Below are 21,330 nucleotides of genomic sequence, written 5' to 3' on the forward strand. Positions count from 1 at the left end.
TCTCTGCCTTAAGAATGCACAGCAGCTGGATGTGAGCTGCGTGGTGCTGCCCGGGCCACTTGGTATAAAGCAGTGTCTGATGCTCAGCCCAGGTCTCCACTTGGGCCAGAACAACCCAGGACACAAGTCACCATTCCCCTGGGGCCGTTCATTCTCTCCCAGCATTTGTTTCATCCATATTTATTAAGGAGATAATTCCCTGAAATTACTAACACACATAGTAGCAGGATTACTATTAATGTGGTGCTGTGTTTAAAGGGAGCTGTATCTTTTCATATGGGAGATTTTTGCAAATGTTACAACTTGCAATCCCTAACATCTTTAAGAATTGTTTTTGCTGGCAGCAAGGTGGTGGATCCACAGTTGTAAGGTTCCAGTTTTGTAAACCTGGAAGCCCGGTGCTTCGACATGCAGGCAGAGCAGCAAATGCAGGCAGATGGCAGCAGGGTGGTGGGCGGCTTCTCCTCCAGGCTGCTGCTGGGAGAAACGTCTGCTGCTTTCTTCCTGCAATTGTCCCCAGCCAAGGCAGCTCTCACATGCTCAGCCCTCACTCTTGCTGAGTGACATACCCAGTGTGGAAACCAAGGACCAGCCAGGCCAGTTCGGGATCAAGAGTAACTAGAGTCAAGCTTGGTCGGCTTGCATGCAGTGGTGCTTAATAATTCAGGGGACATCTTGAGGCTTCACTGAGATGCTTTCACAGGCTTTATGTTTATGAGCATTTTACAACCATATTTCAAAACCATATTTTCAAAATTTTTCTGAGTGCTTCAGCTCATCACAGCAGAGAAAATTATTTAGAGCAGGAGTCCCCAGCCTCCAAGCCACAGACCAATTCCGGTCCATGGTCTGTTAGGAACTGGGCTGCACAGCAGGTTGTGAGTGGTGGGTGAGCAAGGAAAACTTCATCTGTATTTACAGCCCCTCCTCAACGCTTGCATTACCACCTGAGCTCCACCACCCATCACATTAGCAGCGGCATTAGGTTCTCATAGGAGAGCAAACCTTACTCCACTTACTTGGGATCTAGGTTGCACGCTCCTTATGAGAATCTAATGGCTGATGATCTGTCACTGTCTCCCATCATCTCTAGATGGGCCTGTCTAGTTGCAGGAAAATAAGCTCAGGGGTCCTACTGATTCTATGTTATGGTGAGTTGTATACTTATTTCACTATATATTACAATGTAGTAATAATAGAAATAAAGTACATAACAAATGTAATGCACTTGAATCATCCCGAAACCATCCCCTGCCTCAGTCTGTGGAAAAATTGTCTTCCACAAAACGGGTCCTTGGTGCCAAAATGGTTGGGGACCGCTGAGTTAAAGGACTTCATAGAACTGGGAATGTGCCCATGTTCATGGCAACCTTGGCAAAGCTGTTTTAGCTCCACCTGAGGAAAGGGGTGTTTTGAGCCGTGGCAGGGCCCCCTGATCCCTTGGGCTTTGGAAGATAGGAATGCATTTTCAGGGTTTCTTGGCCTGTTTCTCCATCTGTGAAGAGGCCAGGTCTGTCTGGAGAAACTTCAGAGAGAGGCTGTGAGTGCTCGAGAAGGGAGCCTGAGTGTGCATTGCAGCTGCCTGGCAGGCATGGCAAGTTGCAAACTAACCTTTCAACCTGCTGTCTCTCCAACCCCGTCTCCAGCTGCCCACTCTGCAGCCCAGGCTCAGGACCGGCCAACTGCCACCGTGTCACCCCTGCGCACCCAGAACTCTCCATCCCGCCTGCCTGCCACCAGCCTCAGGCCCCACTCGGTGGTGTCCCCGCAGCACAGCCACCAGCCCCCGGTGCAGATGTGCCCACGGCCGGCCATCCCCCTCACATCAGCAGCATCAGCCATCACACCTCCCAACGTCAGTGCCGCAAACCTCAACGGGGAGGCTGGAGGGGGGCCCATCGGTGTTCTGTCCACATCCAGCCCCACCAACACGGGATGCAAACTAGACGAGAAGAAAAGTGAAAAGGTAAGAGGCCCATCCTGGACGAGCCCTGGGCTCGAGGCCAGCTGCTTACTGTAACTTTTTGGCACTAGATGGCAGTGGCATTTGTGCAATTGAAGCTAGAATGTGGGCTCCAAGTGCCTGCCCCTAGATGAACCAGGCGTGTGACAGAGAGGGAGCCAAACCACCAGAGCAGCTGGTTGGAGAGGAATCAGGCAGGCCTTGGGTGCTGGCAGGGCCATGCAAGTCCAGCTACATTTCTCATGCAAATCAGAAAAAGGTGTCCCCTCTTGAAAATGCCTTAGTTCCATCTGTTGTAAAATCATTGTAATATACTCATTTTGTTAGAACAGGATATTTATTGCCATGTGCTGGGATATTGTAATAATAAATATACAAATCTACGTGTGCAGTGTGAACAGCACCCACTCCCTTCAATATGTCATCCTTGTGCAGTCCACAACCTGTTCAACCATATGGGACAGGCCTGTTTCCTGAGGAGCAATGAGAAGGAACAGGAGAATGCTGACCTGATGGCTGGTGTGTTTTTTAGCTATTCTTTTAGCCATGAAGTGCTGATTTCATAAAAGAAAATCTGGGCCAGGCGTGGTGGCTCAAGCCTGTAATCTCAGCACTTTGGGAGGCTGAGGCGGGCGGATCACCTGAGGTCAGGAGTTTGAAACCAGCCTGGCCAACATGGCAAAACCCCATCTCTACTAAAAATACAAAAATTAGCCAGGCATGGTGGCGTGCGCCTGTAATCCCAGCTACCTAGGAGGCTGAGGCAGGAGAATCACTGGAAACCGGGGGGCAGAGCCTGCAGTGAGCCAAGATTGTGCCACTGCACTCCAGCCTGGGCAACAGAGCAAGACTGCATCTCAAAAAAAAAAAAAGAAAAAGAAAGAAAATCTGAGTCCAAGAAACTTGTTCCGGTTGCCACCCTGCTAGACGTTAGATTAACCAGGATGAGAATCCAGACTTCTAAATCAGTGCTGTCCAGCAGAAACATAATGCAAACCTCAAATCTAATTTTAAATTTTCTAGTAGCCACATTTTTAAAAAGTAAAATTAATTTTAAAGTAAATTTAAAAGGTGAAATTCATTTTAACAGCTTATTCCATTAAACCCAATATCCAGAATATTATTGTTTCAACATGTAACCTATGTTTTAAAATTGTTGATGAGATATTTTAGTATTTTTTTTTTACGTGAAGTTTTTGGAAGCCCATGTGAAATCCAATAAGCAATTCTCCAGGGCTCAGGGCCCATGCACTGCCTGAGGCTGTATCCCTAGGGCGTTGGGCTGGGTGCTGGGCAAGGAGCCACTCTGTGTATTGGCCTTGCTGCCTGAACGGTTTAGGGATTGTTCTCTCTTGGCTTGACTGATTCTGCAGATCTTTTGACATCTTTCCATATAAAATTAGTCTTTGGATCACCCTGGACACTAGATGGTGTGTTCCAGGCAAGGACAGCCTCTCTCTCTTTCTCGAGGACATTGCCAAACCCAGCGCTGACTCGGCGGGCTCTCTGCCCATCACCCTGGAGGCAGGCCCTGCTCCCCTGTCCTCAACATGAGCCGGGAACGCTGCAGACATGGGCCACACCAGGTTCCGCAGGGCCTCAGCACCTCCTGTGTTGTTCAGTCCAGAGCAATGGTTGTTCCCGTGCTGACTGGTGTGGCAGAGCCAATGCAGCTAGCAAAGCTCAGGTCTGCTCCAGCCTAACAGGGCGCCTGGCATGAAGGGCAACAGCTGCTCTGTGTTTTGTGTGTCTGTTTGAAGATCAGTTCAGTCTTGAATCTGTTCCCTTCTACCCTGCAGCCCTTGTTATGAGATGTGGCTGGGTCTCATCAGGAGGGAGAGGTGGGATTCACAGTCCTACCCTCTCACTTAAGCATTCTTCCTTCTTCTGAGCTGCTCAGAAACAACCAGGGGCAGACTTGGAAAGTGGGGGCTGTAATAGTTCCTTAAGCATTTCTAGTTCTTTGCCCAAGAATTCCCTCTCTCTAGTTTGTGAAGCAAATGGGACTGGCTTCAATAATACCATTGCTGAGTGGGTTTCTATGACATTACGTCCTGTACGAATCTACACGGAGGATGATGCTGTTCCCCATCACCCACCTAAGTGTGAAGCTAATGAACACCAGCTGAGTCTGTTCCTAGCCTGCCTGTTAGACACTTTGTAAATATTTCGCTTTCTCTTAAGGTTTATGCCCTCTAACAGTTGTGCTATATCAGCAAAGAACAGTTGAGTCCAGAAGACACCCCAACATCCCTCTTGATGAAAGGCGACATGCAGGGACGCCCTGCCATGCAAGCTGCACATACAGTGGCTCAGCCTCCTCCTCCCCTGATAGCTCCCGAGCCTCTGTGGGCAGCAGAAGTGCGTAGGCCACGCTTGGGGCTGGACACATGCTGTGGGAGCAGTCCACGCTGCACTCCAGGCAGGAGGGGAAGTGGTTTTTGTGAGGCCCTCTGAGCTTATGTCCAGAGGTTCAGCAAACCCCAGCAGAGAAGCACATTGCCCTCCCACACATTGTGTGTGCTTTTCATTCCCACCTCTCATAAACAACAAAGACAAGCACTGGTCTACAAAACCACCTGTGAACATTTTGCCCATCTGTGTTCCCACTTGAATTTCTCCTAATTTGCAGCAGGGCCCAAGGCATTTACAGCTGCCATTTGCAGCAGAAGAGCAGAAATGATGGTCATTTTAGTCCACTGCTCAGAAGCAAGTGAGCCAGTGTGACCTGCACCAGCAGACTGTGCTGGGCTAGGGGGCTGCAGCCAGCACACTCCCTGCAGGCCGCTTCCTGAGCCCCACCCCTCCATGACTACACTAAACAGGCTTCCTAACTTTGGGCAACTTGATCATAGATGTACACATGTCTAATTATGGCAAAGGTTTTTTAAAGCATTTGGCAGTATTCTCCAGTCTGTTTCTGTTAAATTTTCTTTGGGAAAAGACAGTGAGCTCCTCACTCCCACATCCACTGATGCATATACCTCAGTGCAGCGCAGTTTCCTAGCGCTAGTGCTGCTAAATTCCACCCAGGCCCTTCCATGCATGTACCAGAGAGAAGGCAGGGTGGATACAGCTCCTGGGCGCCGTAGAGTAGGGAGTAATTTTCTCCTAGGAGCGTGGGAGATTTACGCGCCATATCCCTGTGTGTGGAGAAGGAAGAAGCCCCAAAACCAGCTCTGTGTTGTGTGGTGTCAGTGGCTATGGTCAAGGTCCCAGGAGGCTGGTTCCCGGGAGGCTTGTGCCAGGAGGCTTGTCCCCAGGAGGCTGGTGCTGGCAGGCTGGTCCCAGGAGGCTGGTCCCTGGGAGGCTGGTGCTGGGAGGCTGGTTCTGGGAGGCTGGTGCCAGGAGGCTGGTCCCTGGGAGGCTGGTCCCGGGAGGCTGGTGCCAGGAGGCTGGTCCCAGGAGGCTGGTCCCGGGAGGCTGGTGCCAGGAGGCTGGTCCCGGGAGGCTGGTGCCGGGAGGCTGGTCCCTGGGAGGCTGGTCCCTGGGAGGCTATTCCCGGGAGGCTGGTCCCCGGGAAACTGGTCCCCGGGAGGCTGGTGCTCTGCTGCTATATCCAGGGGGATTGGGCCTTTGAGCTCTGTTCCCTGCGTGGCCCGATGTGGTGTGCAGGCCTCTGGGGATAATACAAGTGCAGACAGAGTGGCAGTTCTTTCTCCAGACCCATTCCTGAACCAGAGCTCCTCTCTGGGCCCAGGCATCTGCCAGCCTATGCAGGAACCTCTCCAGCCTACTCTCCCAGGTCTCTTCCTGCCCACCTGCCTGATCATATTGCTCCCTGCAGGGGCTGCCCTGTGGCCAGGCCCCCAACACCCACAAGTTACACAGTAGAACTCAAATCTGGTTTTAAAAGGTGGTCTTCAGGATTTAAGTTATCCTTTTGCACTTAAAAATGAATTTTGTGCTTGAAACAACCATGGAACACTGCCTATTGTGTCCATCCGTGACAGTTTTCTGGTTTTGAAACTGTGTGAGCACATCAGCACCAGGTGATACGAACCCTCAGGGTACCTAAGTCCAGGGGAGAGTCACCCAGAAGAGAAGGGTGCAATGGGCTGCGTGCAGTTGGCATCCCTAACCACCCGACCGGCCATCACTCACTCTCTTACTTGTGCCCCAATCCCTGACTCATCTGTGTATTGCAAAGAGCATGAGGATGTACCTGGCAGAGCGCAGGCACACGGTTCATAATGATGGAAAGGTCAACCCTGGCCTGGAGGAGCCAGAGTATAGTACAGGTCACTGTACAGGTAAACAGGCGATTGATTGCAGGAGAGGGTGGGTGATTGACCTGCGTGTGGGAACAGAGGGTCACCGACAAAGGCGCCTGGTCAGCCCAGGTCAGGGGAGACTTCCCGGGGCACAGATGGGAGGATCCTTGGCTGAGGGTCAGCCTGAGCAGAGGCCAGGGGACATGGCCCGAAGATGAGGGCCAGGGACGGGAGAGGTAGCAGGCAGCCCTGGGAGGGCCTCGTTGCCAACTGCTCAGCACTGCAAAATCTGCAGATGCTGGGCAGGAGGGTGCCATCCTGTAACTTAACTACTTAAATATCCTGTAACTTAAATACTATCGTATAATAATCATATCATATAAAAGTCAGTGCAACTTACATTACATGGTGAGATAAGAGAGAGAAGAAAACAAAGGTACTGCTTAATATACACATTCACACAGACATATTCATAATAAAATAGGAGGAAATACTTACAACAATTACAATCCTCATTTCTGTAGCTGTTCACATGGTCGTGGCTGGTATTTATAATTACTTTGTCTACTATCCAATCTGTATTCCCCTTCCCTTCAGAAAGCGCCTCAGCTGGGCATGGACCCTTACCTGGTGGGGTGACCCGAACCTTCACTCCTGAAGGGTCTGGGCCATTTTTAGTCCTGTCTGGATTGGGTGGTTATAGTTTTCCATTGACCTCAGGAAGGCTTGAGCACAGGCCATGAGTGGTGCTCCTTGCCTCCTCGGGGTTCTGAGCCTCTTGCTGTCCCTGTGCAGTTGACCAAGTCCACACGGTGAGAGCGCTCCCGCCGGCTGCCTGACTTCTGTGGAGCCCTCTCCTTGGTGCTGAGGTTCCCCAAGGCTCTGGCCTGGCCATGAGTTCCACAGCAGCATTCTTCAAATGATCAATCCAGTGGATTGGGACCCACATTTTTATTTAGATTGGATGGGATAAACAGAATGAAACAGGGTAGGATAGATCTTCATGGTGAGCATACAGTAGGGACGGTACACTGGGGAGCTTCTGTGTTGCTGTGTGCGAGTCCTGACATAAAACTTAATTCAAAAACATCTCGAAGCCTTAGGTCGACAACCCCAGCCCATAGAAGGCACCTGGTGATGATTGTAGACTAAAGAGAATTGGAAAAACTGCTGCCAGTAAGTTTTCACTCTCACGACTTATGGGAAATTCTTTATGGGCCAGAAAAAAAAAAAGTTAACTCTCTCTTTATGGGTGTGGTAGTTTTAGTTTCAGTGAGTAATAGAATATTGAAACTTGAAAGAGCCTCTAAAGATGTTTTATATTAAACTCTCCATTTTCCATGATGTTCCTGAGGCTCAGAGACCTTCAGAGACTTGCCTGGGGCCACACAGCATCGGCAGTGGAGCTGGCATGGGAATGCTGGCCTCCTGCCTCCTGTGTTGGGTCCAAGTGCTGACTGTGGTGGCCTCCTAGTCCCTGGGAGGTCATGGCCCGTCCAGGAGTCCCACAGTGAGACATCCAGGGTAGCGGCTGGCAGGAGACCATGAGGCTGGCCTTGGGGGGAGAAAGGGCCCTAGGTGTCTGCCTTCTGGGTCCACATTGGACCCAGCCACAGCCAGAACCCATGCAACAATGAATCACTTACCAGTCCATGTGGATGACCGACATAATCAAGACTGCAAACCCAATTTGGTCTGAAAGGAACAGAGGACCTGACAGAATGACCCATAATGACAGCAGCAAGGCCTGGTCTGGGGCGTGGAGTCTGTGGGACACATGTGTGCACCCACCCATTAAATATATGTATATCTCATATATGTGTGTTACTATGGCATATACACTCATGATATTATATAGGAGTGTGATTATATTTTTCATGAAACCCCAGGAACATCCAATCTGAAGAAATCTTGAGGATGAAGCTCTTTTGAGTGGCCAGGCAGCTCTCTCTAAAGTGAAGAATCGCTGGCTTATAAATGTATTTCCTCTCGAGTGGAGGCACCCTGCAATAGGTAGACCCTTACTCGTCCATCCCAGTTCTGTCGACAGGCAGCCGGGGAAGCCAGCTGCTGCCAGCGCTCATCCCAGCTTCTCCAGGTTTACCAGTGCCATTCACTTCCGAAGTGACAGCTACACTCTGCTGGCACAGGCTGGCTGCATGCTCCCACCAACCAGGGTGGGGAGGGGCCTGCTGTCACCTGCACACACTGGCATGAGAGGTAGAAGGGGCTGGATCTGACCTCACCCAGAACTGATTCACCCACGTGGGAACCATCATGCAGGTCTTAGGGGAGACCTGCCCTGCAGCCTGCTCACGGAGCCCCTTGGCCCATGCTCTGTCATCAGGTGCAGCCACAGTCTGATGCATCGCTGGGCTCCCAGGCCCACTGGGGGCTTGGGAACCTCAGGTCTGCCGCACAGCAAAGTCACTGAAGAGTCTCATGGTCAGCCATGGGCCATGGAAACCACCTCTGCCCTGGCCACTTGTGCCTGGCAGCTCTGCTGGTTAGTGGCACTGGCGTTGGCTGGGCAGAAGGGGTCGCAGAGTCAGCCCCGTGTGGCTGGGAGCACCGGCGACTCCAGGTCCTCTTCCTGTTCCCCTATTGTCAGGCTGCCTTCCGAGGGATAAGGGGAGCCAGCATGTGCGGCTGAAAATGAACCCATCCTGAAAGCGTGAATCCCAGCTGCCAAAAAACATTTTGAAGTTTTCCAGACAGCCTTTTTTGGAAGGCATAAACTGCTGGAGCATCGCTTCACTGGTGACAGGAGTGGCAACCTTTCTCTAAGTTAGGAATGTCCCGTCAGAGCACAGGCCCTCAGTGGGGCAGGGCAGTGGCCCAGCCTGGTCTGAGCAGAGGTCAGTGGTGGCCTGGAGGCTTCTCTTGTTATCTGCGCCCTCCCAGGACAGCAAGTGAAGCTGGCTGTCCCCAGTTCTCCTGTAGAAACTCCGTGGCCTCTGCATTGGGATGAGACTTCTGGATCTCAGCGTGGTTGTGAGTGCTGGTGACCCTTTCAGGGTACAAATGTGGACATGAAGTCCAGAGAGGCAAGGTGACCTGCCCAAGGCCACACAACGAGTAGGGCACTGGGAATGAAACCAGGCTCCATGGTACCCACAAGTGCCCACTCCCCATTCTCTGCTACTGCTAGTCAGCTTCTCTTCTGGGGAGAATAGCCTAGGGCTCATGCCGCTGAGCCTTCAGAAAGTGGCAGGGACGAGGGAAGGAGCACAGTCATCTCAACAGCGAGTGAAGCTTGAATTTGGAGGAGGAAGACACAGTGGATTAATCAGCATGGAGGGTGGACCTGGGGTCGGCTGCCTAGTGTGAATCAATCTCCTGTTTACCAATTATGTGACTTCGAGCAAGCTTCTCCACCTTCCATGCCTCAGTTTCCACATCTGTGAAATGGGGACGATAGCACCTACCACCCTGAGTTGTTGGGAGTAGTAAATTTAGTTAGTTTGACGAATGCATAACATAGTATTTAGAACAAAAGTATTAGAAATTATTATTAAGAATTTGATAGTTAATTGAAGTCTGGATCCTAGAATTAAATGATCCATACAGATGTAAAACTTATATCCCCGAGGCTTCTCTAAAAGATCAAAGGAGGGGTTAATTTTGTTATATGAACAATGAAGGGAACTCAAGTAAACTATTATTCAGAAGTAGGGTTTCAACTGCAAAGCATTAAACCAAAATGCATTTTTAAAATAGTAATACACTTTAGAAAATGAAAAGGATTTGTAAGTCATGTGTAATAGTTGTGAGGGTTCTGCCACCCTCCCCAAAGGGCACTGACTAATAACGAGTAACTAATCAGGATTACTGTGAAATCCTACACTCTAGTGCCACACGAGCTGAACAAGCAAGCGATGCGTGTGACAGTGTGGCTGGGGCGAGCGATGCACACACTGCATGGCCGGGAGCCCCGGCACAACTCAATTCCCACATCAAGTCTAGATTCTGTTCTGCAAAATTCTACTGCTGTGACTGCCTTCTTTTTCAACTGATATATTCTCACAGTGCTTTCAAAGACATGGGATTTTTTTCCAGCCGTCCATGCCCAGAAAAACTCAGTGATGGCATTAGTTCAGAAGAAAAACAAGCGCACACCCCATAAACTACATCAGAAGGTAATGCCCACACATCAGACCCAGCCGTCTGTCCCTCCCAGAAGGCAACAAAGTCAGCATGGCGGGGCATCTCTGAACATTCCACAGCACTTGCCAGCACTCTCCATTTTGGTCCCATAACTGAGGGAAATGTCGAGAAAGAACAGAGAGTGCTGGGTTCGGCATTCTATTTGTTGTGGTTTTATTTTGTTTTTTCAGGCACTCAGGCCATGTGGTGCAGGAGCCGGGGAGGGCACTCTGTAACCTCAAGGGAATAAGACGGCTTCATACCATCATCTCCCTCTAGGGGAAGTCACTCCTGGGACAGTTTGGTTTTTATTCACCTGATAAGCTATGTGCTTGCTTATTAAATTCCTTCCAGGCCGCATCTTACTACATTATAGGACACATTTGTATATAGCATGAGAATGAAACTCATTAATCTTTTCAGAGGATTCACACTCTGTCTGGATCTCAAATAGAACCAATAGGTCAACTTCATGAAAATGTTATTGCTATAGGATTTCTTTGTAAGACCAGCAGAAATGGCTAGATTTATGGCTTCATCACCTGCCTTCTAACTCTTATTTATTCTCTCTTTCACTTTAAGGTCACCTTACAACTCCCCTAGACTTCAGTTTATTTAGTGTGAAAATGGGAATAATGTCTTTTTGTACTCATGGGAATACTATAAAAATTAATTATTGGTTTGTATCAGTCAGGGATCTCCAGAGAAACAGAACCAGCAGGAGACAGAGAGAGAGAGAGAGAGAGAGAGAGAGAATTTATTTATTTTAAGGAATTATGTGACTGTGGAGGCTGGCAAGCCTGAATTCTGTGGGGCAGCCCAGCAGGCTGGACCCTCAGTCAGGAGTTGCTGTGCAGTCTTGAGGCAGAAAATCATTGTCCACAGGATGCCTGTGATTGCTCTTAAGGCCTTCAGCTGATTGGGCGAGGCCCACCCACATTATCAAGGTATGTACTTTCAGTAATCTCTTTTACTTAAGGTAAACTGGCTGTAGATATTAACACATTTGCCAAATGCCTTCATAGCAACATCTAGATTAGTGTTTGCTCAAACAACTGGGTACCTGCCTAGCCACACTGACATAAAACTCACCATCACCGTCCATCCTTTGTCAGCTTGACATCTCCCTAAACTATACTTAGTTTCCACATAAAGACAAAAGCAAAGTCATACTTCTGCCTAATATGATACAACAAGCCTGACTACACCAAGAGTGCATGCGCCCTTCCCAGAAGAGGATTCAGAGTCTTTGAGTGGTGCTTCGTCTTCTTCTTGATATCTTGTAACTTAAATACTATCATATAATAATCATATCATATAAAGTCAGTGCAACTTATATTACATGGTGAGATAAGAGAGAGAAGAAAACAAAGGTACTGCTTAATATACACATTCACACAGACATATTCTTAACAAAATAGGAGGAAATACTTACAACAGTTACAATCCTCATTTCTGTAGCTGTTCACATGGTCATGGCTGGTATTTATAATTACTTTGTCTACTATCCAATCTGTATTCCCCTTCCCTTCAGAAAGCGCCTCATCTGGGCATGGACCCTTACCTGGTGGGGTGATCCAAACCTTCATTCCTGAAGGGACTGGGCCATTTTTAGTCCTGTCTGGATTGGGTGGTTATAGTTTTCCATTGACCTCAGTCACGGGGCATTGTGATTGAGAGCGTGCTAGGAGACACCCCAAGGGATCTCCTGTATCCCAGACATGCTCTTGCCCATGTCCACTATGGAGTGCAGTCCAGTTTCCCACGGTGGTCAGGATCAGTCACCCGAGCCAGCACAGTAGTTCCCGTTCCTGCCTTTGATTCTAAGCCACAAGGATCCCAAAGCGGCTGAGTGGCAGTCTTGAATTCCAGCTCAATGGAATCATTGTCATGTTTCCTGGTGGCAACATTCCTCCCCCTGGAACCAAGACCTCTAGACTAGTAGAACATAATGTTGTGAGAACAAGAAGCAGACATTTTGCTAGTGGGTTACTAGGGGTCATAATAAGTGGTGCTTCTCCCATTTCTGCCCCATGATTCCTGGGCCCATGAGTCCTGGCTGTAGGAGAAATAGCACCATATATTTGATGCTGATTCAGAGCATACCCAGCCTTCTGGAGAATATTGTCCCAGCCCTGCAAGGGACTGTCACCCAGCTGGTGCTGTAACTGAGTCTTCAAAAGGTCATTCTACATTCTGTCAAGCCAGCTGCCAGCATAATGGGGAACATGGTAGAGCCAGTGAGTTCCATGCACACGAGCCCATTGCTGCACTTCATTTGCTATGGAGTGAGCTCCTCAGTCAGAAGCAGTGCTGTGTGGAATACCGTGATGGTGGTTAAGGCATTCTGAAGTCCATGGATATTCACTTTGGCAGAAGCATTGTGTGTAGGGAAGACAAATCCATATCTAGAGTGAATAGTATCCATTCCAGGAAGGACAAAACACCATTGCCCCTTCCTTGATGGAGGTGGTCCAAGGTAGTCACCTTGCCCCCAGGTGGATGCTGACCATCTCAGGGAGTGGTGACATGCTGGGGACTCACTGTTGTTCTCTGCTGCTGGTGGATTGGACACAGTGGTAGTCGTAGCCAGGTTGGCCATGGTGAGTGGAAATCCATGATGCTGAGCCCATGCATCACCTCCATCCACAGTGGCCACTCTGTTCATGGGTCCACTGGGCAATGACAGGAATGGCTGAGGAAAGAGGCTCAGTCATTGACTGTGCTCCACAGAATCCCATCTGTGGAATTACTAAAGTCCTCCTCTGCTGAGGTCACCCTTTGGTGAGCATTTAAATGGCACACAAATTTCACCACATGTTTTCCCATTGAAAGAGGTCTTTTCACATGTGCTTTTCCAATTTCCTTGTCACCAATTTTCCAATTATGTTTCTTGCAAGTCCCTGACCAACCAGCCAAATCATCGGCCACAGCCTATGAATCATTAAACAATCACACTTCTAGCCACTTCTCCTTCCAAGCAAAGTGCACAACCAGGTGCATTCCTCAAAGTTCTGCCCACTGAGAGGCTTTCCCTTCACTGCTGTCCCTCAGGGATGTCCCAGAGAGGGGCTGCAGTGCTGCAGCTGCCCACTTTCAGGTGGTGCCTGCATATGGTGCAGAACCATCTGTGAACCAGGCTCAAGTCTTATCTTCCTGTGTGATCCTATGGAACTGCCCAGGAGGCCACAGGTGCAGGCTGGGAGAGAGAAGGCAGCATAGCAGGAGTGGTGACCATAGGCATTTTAGGCCACTTCCTCATGTAACTTACTGGTGCCTTCGGGACCTGCTCTAACCCGATCATGTGTCCACCCTTCCATTTGGTCATGGAATGCTGCTGTGCACGCCCAGCTTTATGCTTGGTGGGTCAGATAACACCAGTTCACAGTGGGCAGCTCTAGTTGCATGGTAATTGGTGGCTCATGGTCAAGCATTTAGTCTCTACCAAGGCCCAGTGGCAGACCAAGAACTATCTCTCAGAAAGAGAGCAGTTGTCCTTGGAAGACAGCAGAGGCTTGCTCCAAAATCCTAAAGACCTGCGCGGTGATCCACCTGCCAAAGGCCCCACGTAGCATCCCTGTCTGTCCTAAAGACCTGCGCGGTGATCCACCTGCCAGAGGCCCCACGTAGCATCCCTGTCTGTCCTAAAGACCTGCGCGGTGATCCACCTGCCAGAGGCCCCACGTAGCATCCCTGTCTGTCCTAAAGACCTGCGCGGTGATCCACCTGCCAGAGGCCCCACGTAGCATCCCTGTCTGTCCTAAAGACCTGCGCGGTGATCCACCTGCCAGAGGCCCCACGTAGCATCCCTGTCTGTCCTAAAGACCTGCGCGGTGATCCACCTGCCAGAGGCCCCACGTAGCATCCCTGTCTGCCACAATAGTGCCTCAGGCACCACTGGATCTCCTGGGTCATGTGGCCCAAGTGGTAGAGCATCTTTCACAGCAGCCTGGACCTGTTGCAGAGCCTTTTTTTGTTCTAGGTCCTACTCAAAACTATCAATTTTGGGGGTCACTTAATAAATAGGCCAAATTAATACACCCATCTGAGGAGGATGTTGTCTCTAAAAATTCAAAGAGCCCCACTCACCTTTTTAACTCTGGCTATAGGAGGGGCTAGACGTAACCACTTTTTCTCCACCTTACGAGGGATGTCTCAGTGTGCCCCCACACCACCAAACCCCTAGAAATTTCACTGAGGTAGAAGGCCTTTGAATTTTAATTCAATTTATTTCCCATCCTCTGACATGCAGGTGTCTTACCAACAAATCTAGAGTAGTTGCTGCTTCTTGCTCACTAGGTCCAGTCAGCACAAGGCCATCAATGTCATGGGCCATCTCGTATGACATCTTGAGGAAGGCAAAGGTGATCACCATCCCTGCAAACTATTTTGTGACACAGAGTTGGAGAATTGATCTACCCCTGAGTTTCATTGCTGGCCTTGCCTGCTGAAAGCAAACTGCTTCAGTCTTTACTAACAAAAAAAGCATTTGCCGAATTAATCACTGCATATCAGATACCAAGAGGTGTGGTGGATTAATTTGCTTAAACAACGAAACCATACTGGTATGGCATCTGCAGTTGGAGTCACCACCTGGTTAAGCTTATGATAATCCTCTGTCATTCTCCATGATCCATCTCTCTTCTGCACCGGCCAAACAGGAGAGTTGAATAGGGATGTGGTGAGAATCACCACCCCTGTATCCTTCAAGTCTTTGATGGTGGCACTAATCTCTGCAGTACCTCTAGGAATGCATATTGCTTTTATTTTACCATTTTCTGAAATAGAGGCAGGTTAGTGGCTTCCACTGGCCTTTCTTGCATAACAGCCCTCTCTCCACAGGTCAGGAAACCAATGTGAGGATTCTGCCTGCTGCTGAGTACGTCTAGGCTAATGATGCATTTCAGAACTGGAGAAAACCCACAGGATGGGTTCAGGGCCATACTTGAACTGTTGTGAGAAGGACATGAGATAAAACTCCACTGATCACCTGTGCTCCATAAGCCCGTCCCTGACTGGCAGACCATAGTGACATTTGGCTCTCGTCAACTTAGGGTCAGTTCAGATCCAGTGTCCAGCTGTCCCTGAAAAGTCTGATTATTTTCTTTCCCCTAATGCGCAGTCACCCTGTTAAGGTAGATCCCTTTGGGGAAGCCTGGGAGAAAGATTAACAGTGTAAGATTTTGGTATGGCCCTGGGGTCTTTCCTCAAGAAGACCTAACCTGTAAATTCAAGGGATTCTGAGTCTGTAAAGTAGCTCAAGCCTGGGAATTGATTGAAGGGTTGTGACTCTGTTTTGTGATTCAAGTTATACTTCTGTTCACTAGACCTAGAACTCTTCTGTTTACACAGCTCAAGTAAGAATTTAGTAGACAGCCCATCTATTTCTCTTCCAGGAATATAATGGACTGCCAGTTGCCAGTTGATTACTGCCTTGACTGTGCTGTCTGTTTTGGTAACTTGTCTCACGGTATTACCACCTGGTCGGCCTTGTCTTTGGTAATTATGTGCCACCATGTGGGCCCTGCCCCCCTTGCTCTGGGACCCAGTCACTTCCAGGTTTCCCAGTTCCATGGCCATAGTTCCCACTGTAAGGTCCGGCCTGTGGAGAAGTGTGACTCCAGAGCTTTTCAAGGGTGCGAGGACTCCCCTCACACATCTGTTTCTCATAGTCGTGGTGAAAGGCGTGTCCTCTGGACCCTCCTGGGGTGGGAGGAAATATTAGTTACTTCCAATTTCTGATTATTGTGCAACTTGGTAACAAACAGGGACTCTGGAAGCAATGGGGAAGAAGCCATCAGACCCTGAGGCTCACAAAAGAGGAGATGTTCATGTTTGTTTCCGCTGCAGTCAAGCTACCCAAAGTTTTTAACACCTTGGAGAGACCTGGCTGCAAATGTTTGTTTTAGGAACATGCTAAGACCATGGAGAATGATGCCTCTGTGACATGGAGAGATGCAAGGGAATTGTCCCTCAGTGGAGGCCCCTTTCTCCCTGTCACAACTGATTCCCTCAGCTGGGCTTTGAGGACTCTGCCAGAGGTGGTATAGACAGGGTAGGGGTGAACATTTAGAGTCTTCTCTTAGAAAGAGGCACCCGTACAAAGTGTGCCTGGCAAGAGGTCACCAGGAGAGGAAGGATAGACCCTCGCTCGGGAGGGTCCCCAATTCACAGAACATAGCTCTAGAAAGGAGAACAGATGGCATCTGTGCTGGTAGACCTGCCAGCCCCCACACTGCCAGCAGGCCGGGCTGCAGCATTTTTACAGGGGATCATTCAGTTTCTTCTAAAATACTTCCAGGGACAAGAGCTCACCACTTAATGAGGGGGCTTGTTTTATGGCTGGACTGACCTATTAAAAGATTCATCCTCTTGTCGGGCAAAATCTACAGAGTCTACACACACAGATACACATCCACACACAAATATACACACATTCATACATATACATACACATGTACAACATGAACTCACGTACAATGTGAACACATACAAATAACATTCACATGCAATAAGCATATTTATGTATATACATCTACATGAATACATAACAAAAATACACATACAAACATGACTACATGTACACACATTCGCGTACATATAAAATACATGTGCACACATGTAAACATCTGTACACATATACAGATGCATACACAAATACATACATGCATACATAGCCTTGCATACATACACATCCTGCAGAGTTGATCCACTTCTGCCAATTCTGCTCCCTCACAATCGATTTCCTCTTCTAAAAATAGCCCTTCTGATATTGGAAGTCATCCTTCCAAGACTTTTTTTAAAGAGACTTTATTTTTTAGAACAAATTTAGGTTCAGAGAAAAACTGAGCAGAAAATGCAGAAAGTCCTCATATACTCCCTGCTCCCACACATGCACAATCTCTTCTACTATCAATGGCCTACACCAAAGTGGTACATGTGTCAGGACTGATGAACCTACCTTGACACATCATTACCCAATGTCCATAGTTTACGTTAGGATTTACTCTTGGTGTTGTCCAAAATCTATGGATTTTGACAAATGTATAATGACATGTGTCCAGCATTATAGTATCATACAGGATAGTTTGACTGCCCTAAAAATCCTCTGTGCTCTGCCTGTTGATCACTCTTTCACATCTAACTCCTGGCAACCACTGACCTTTTTACTGCCTTCATAGATTTGCCTTTTCTAGATTGTTATACAATTGGAATCATACACAATGTTGTAGCCTTTTTGCATTGGCTTATTTTATTTAGTGATGTGCATTTACGTTTCCTCCATGTCTTCTCATAGATTAGTAGCTCAGTTCTTTTTAGCACTGAATAATATTCCATTGTCCAGATGTACCACAGTTTATTTATCCATTTACTTACCAAAGGACATCTTAGTTGCTTCTCAGTTTTGGCAGTTATGAATACAGCCGCTATAAACATCTTGTGTGGGTTTTTATATGGACATAAATTCGGATAAATACCAAGAAAGGAGATTTTAGGAGTATGTAAGAGTATGTGCTGAGGTCGGTAAAAGTACATTTAGTTTTGTAAGAAACTGCCAACTCTCTTCCAAAGTGGCTGCACCATTTTGCTTTCCTACCAGCAATGAATGAGAGTTCTCATTGCTTCATATCCTCACCAGCATTCAGTGTTGTCACTGTTTTGGATTTTGCCATCCTAATAGTTATGTAGTGGTCTCTCATTGTTATTATACTTTGCAGTTCCCTAATGACATCTGTATTAGGCCATTCTTGCACTGCTATAAAGAAATACCTGAGACTGGGTAGTTTATAAAGAAAAGAGGTTTAATTGGTTATGGTTCTGCAGGCTCTACAGGAAGCATAGCAGCTTTTACTTCTGGGGAGACCTCAGGAAGCTTCCAATCATGGCGGAAGACAAAGAGGGAACAAAGAGTCTCACATGGCAGGAGCAGGAGCAAGAGGGGAGGGAGGAGGTGCTATACACCTTTAAACAATCAGGTCTCATGAGAACTCACTCACTGTCACAGGGAGGGCACCAAGGAGACGGTGTTAAACCATTCGTGAGAAATCTGCTTCCACGACCATTCACCAAGGATCCGTCCCCACGATCCAGTCACCTCCCACCAGACCCCACCTCTAACACCGGGGATTACAATTCAGCATGAGCTATGGTGGGGACACAGGTTCAAACCATATCAACATATAATGCTGAGCATCTTTTCATATGCTTATCTGCTACCTGTACATCTTTTTTTTTTTTTTTTTTTTTTTTTGAGATGGAGTCTCGCTCCGTCGCCCAGGCTGGAGTGCAGCAGTGCTATCTCGGCTCACTGCTGCAACCTCTGCCTCCCAGGTTCAAGCGATTCTCCTGCCTCAGCCTCCCGAGTAGCTGGGACTACAGGCGCGTGCCACCACACCCAGCTAATTTTTGTATTTTTAGTAGAGACGGGGTTTCACTGTGTTAGCCAGGATGGTCTTGATCTCCTGACCTCGTGACCTGCCCGCCTCGGCCTCCCAAAGTGCTGGGATTATAGGCGTGAGTCCTGCGCCCAGCCTGTACATCTTTTTTAATGAGATGTCTGTTTAGATCTTTGCTGAGTTTTTAATTGGGTTGTTTGTTTTCTTATAAAGTTTTAAGAGTTCTTTGTACATTTTAGATATACCACAGTGGTCTTTTGCAAATATTGTCTCTCAGTCTGTGACTTGTTTTCTCATTCTCTTGACAGTATCTGTTTCAGAGCACAAGTTGTTAATTTTCATGGAGCCCAATTTATTAACTATTTCATGATTGTGTCTTTGGTGTTTTATCTAAAAAGGCACCACTAAGCCTAAGGTCCTCTAGATTTTTCCATATGTTATCTTCTAGGAGTTTCATAGTTTTGCATTTTACATTTGGGTCCACAATTCATTCTGAGTGTGTGCATTTGTGTGTCTATATCTGTGTGCATGTCTATACTTGTGCATGTGTGTATCTATATGTGTGTATGTCTATATGTGTGTATGTGTATGTATATGTGTGCATGTCTATACATGTGCATGTGTGTATATGTTTGTGTGTATATGTGTGCATGTGTTTGTGTATGTGTGTCTATATGTGTATGTATGCATGTATGTGTGTGTCTATATATCTGTGTGCATGTGTGTGTATGTCTTCATACTCTGTGAAAGAGAGAAAGAGGCTGCATATTTAAAGGGTTAGGCTGAGAACCCTCCTGCTCTGCTGGTGGAAATGTAAAATGGCACAACTACTTGGGAAAATGGTTCAGCAATTTTTTAAGAAGTTAAACATGCCACCTGTCACTCAGCCATTCCACTCCTAGGAGAAGCAGACACACAGGCCTACACAAAGGCTCCTGCATGAGGGATCCGTAGCAGCTTTATTTGTGACAGCCTCAGACTGGAAATGGCCCAGATGCCAATCAGCTGATGAATGCATGCACAGACAGTGGCTCAACCCTGCAAAGGGGCACCACCCAGCAAGAAAAAGAAACCAGCTGCTGATACACACAGCAATGGAAGGGAAGCGCAAAATCGGCCAAGAGCCAGACAGAAAGCAGAATAGCCACTGGAGGGTCCCGTGTCTATAAAACTTTGGAAAATGCACACCCATGTTTAGTGACAGAAAGCAGCTCGGGGGTTTCCTGGGGACTGGAAGAAGCCCTGGAAGGACAGCAGGACTGGGGGGCTTGGGCCCACCGTGAGGGCAGCGGCAATGCACATCGCCCAGATGGTGGGGCTGCTGCAGGGGGATCTGCTAAGTCAAAACTTGTCAAATAGATATTTTTAAAAGTTAAGACAGCACTTTATTTTTAAAAAGAACATCATGTATTTTTGTGAGTATATAGATTTTAGAGCCAGAAGAGAGGACGAGCATGATTTCCATATCTATTTGAGGATGAGCGTTTGAAGCAGCTCCTCTCTGATTTAATCCCACTGGGCACCTTTTGCCTGATCTGACCGTTCTGCAGTCCCCTGGCAGCAGTCAGGACAGGCTGCACACGCAGAGGAACAGAGCCAGGCTGAGCACCCTCCGCCGTCATTCACATCCCTCACAGACCTCAGATGCCTGTAGCCAGCTGCACCAACACCCCAGGGCGCAGTCCTGTGAACATGCTCCACCTCCATGCGGGCTGCTGGGTCAGAGGCAGAGAGACCCTGGAGGACCTCCTCAGAGCGGAAAACATTTCAGCCCAGAAGTGACACACATCACATTTGCCCACAAAGATTCCCACAACTCACTAATCAAAACTAGCTAGATACGGTCATGTGTCACTTAAAGGGAATACGTTCTGAAAAACGCGTCGTTTGGTGATTTTGTCTTGTGAACATCACAGAGTGGACTCACACAAACCTAGATGGCACAGCCTGTGACACACCTAGGCTGTGTGGTGTAGTCTCTGGCTCCTAGGCTAAAACCTGCACAGCATGTGACTGTGTTGAACACCATAGGCAACTGTAACACAGCGGCAAGTACCGTGTGTCTAAATATAGCTAAACATAGGAAGGGGAATGCGTTGCACTGTGATGTTATGACAGCTGCGACATCAGTAGGCAACATGAATTTTTCAGTTTCATTATCATCTTATAAGACCCCCATTGTGATCTGTCATTGACCAAAACGTCCTTATGTAACACATCATGCTGCTTGGTCCCACTGGATCTCAGAGAGGGCAGGAAGCAAAATGTTTCCATGCGCCTGGCAAGAAGCGAGCACAAACGATGACCAGTCAGGATAAGAAGGAAGTTAGGCCCGGTGTGGTAGCTCACGCCTGTAATCCCAGCACTTTGGGAGGCCGAGGCAGGTGGATCATTTGAGGTCAGGAGTTTGAGACCAGCCTGGCCAACATGGTGAAACCCTGTCTCTATTAAAAATAAAAAAATGAGCCAGGCATGGTGGCGGGCACCTGTAATCCCAGCTACTCAGGAGGCTGAGGCAGGTTAATCGCTTGAGCCTGGGAGGTGGAGTTTGCAGTGAGCCAAGATCGCGGCAGTGCACTCCAGCCTGGGCAACAAAGCAAGACTCTGTCTC

At 48.2% G+C, this 21,330-nt stretch overlaps 2 protein-coding genes across 5 annotated transcripts in view, besides 1 other annotated feature; both read left to right on the forward strand.

Annotated features, from left to right (window-relative positions):
* Positions 1-21,330, forward strand: part of RANBP2 (RAN binding protein 2) — a 1,122,820-nt gene that overhangs the window by 728,042 nt on the left and 373,448 nt on the right. The window lies entirely within an intron of this gene.
* The window catches only part of SH3RF3 (SH3 domain containing ring finger 3), a 375,430-nt gene that overhangs the window by 318,319 nt on the left and 35,781 nt on the right, over positions 1-21,330 (forward strand). For all 4 annotated transcript variants that reach the window (NM_001099289.3, XM_011511109.3, XM_047444144.1 and 1 more), the window contains one exon: positions 1,647-1,966. In NM_001099289.3, the coding sequence (NP_001092759.1) occupies positions 1,647-1,966 (320 nt within the window). The remainder of the gene's footprint in view (positions 1-1,646; positions 1,967-21,330) is intronic.
* Positions 1,255-1,759: an enhancer, noted in NCBI's record as "H3K27ac-H3K4me1 hESC enhancer chr2:110065234-110065738 (GRCh37/hg19 assembly coordinates)". NCBI's record gives its function as "activates a minimal SCP1, AML or CMV promoter by ChIP-STARR-seq in primed H9 embryonic stem cells {active_cell/tissue: H9 hESC(primed)}" and the evidence as "EXISTENCE:reporter gene assay evidence [ECO:0000049][PMID:30033119]".

This window comes from Homo sapiens, chromosome 2 (assembly GCF_000001405.40).
Source record: "Homo sapiens chromosome 2, GRCh38.p14 Primary Assembly".
NCBI classification, from domain to species: domain Eukaryota; kingdom Metazoa; phylum Chordata; class Mammalia; order Primates; family Hominidae; genus Homo; species Homo sapiens.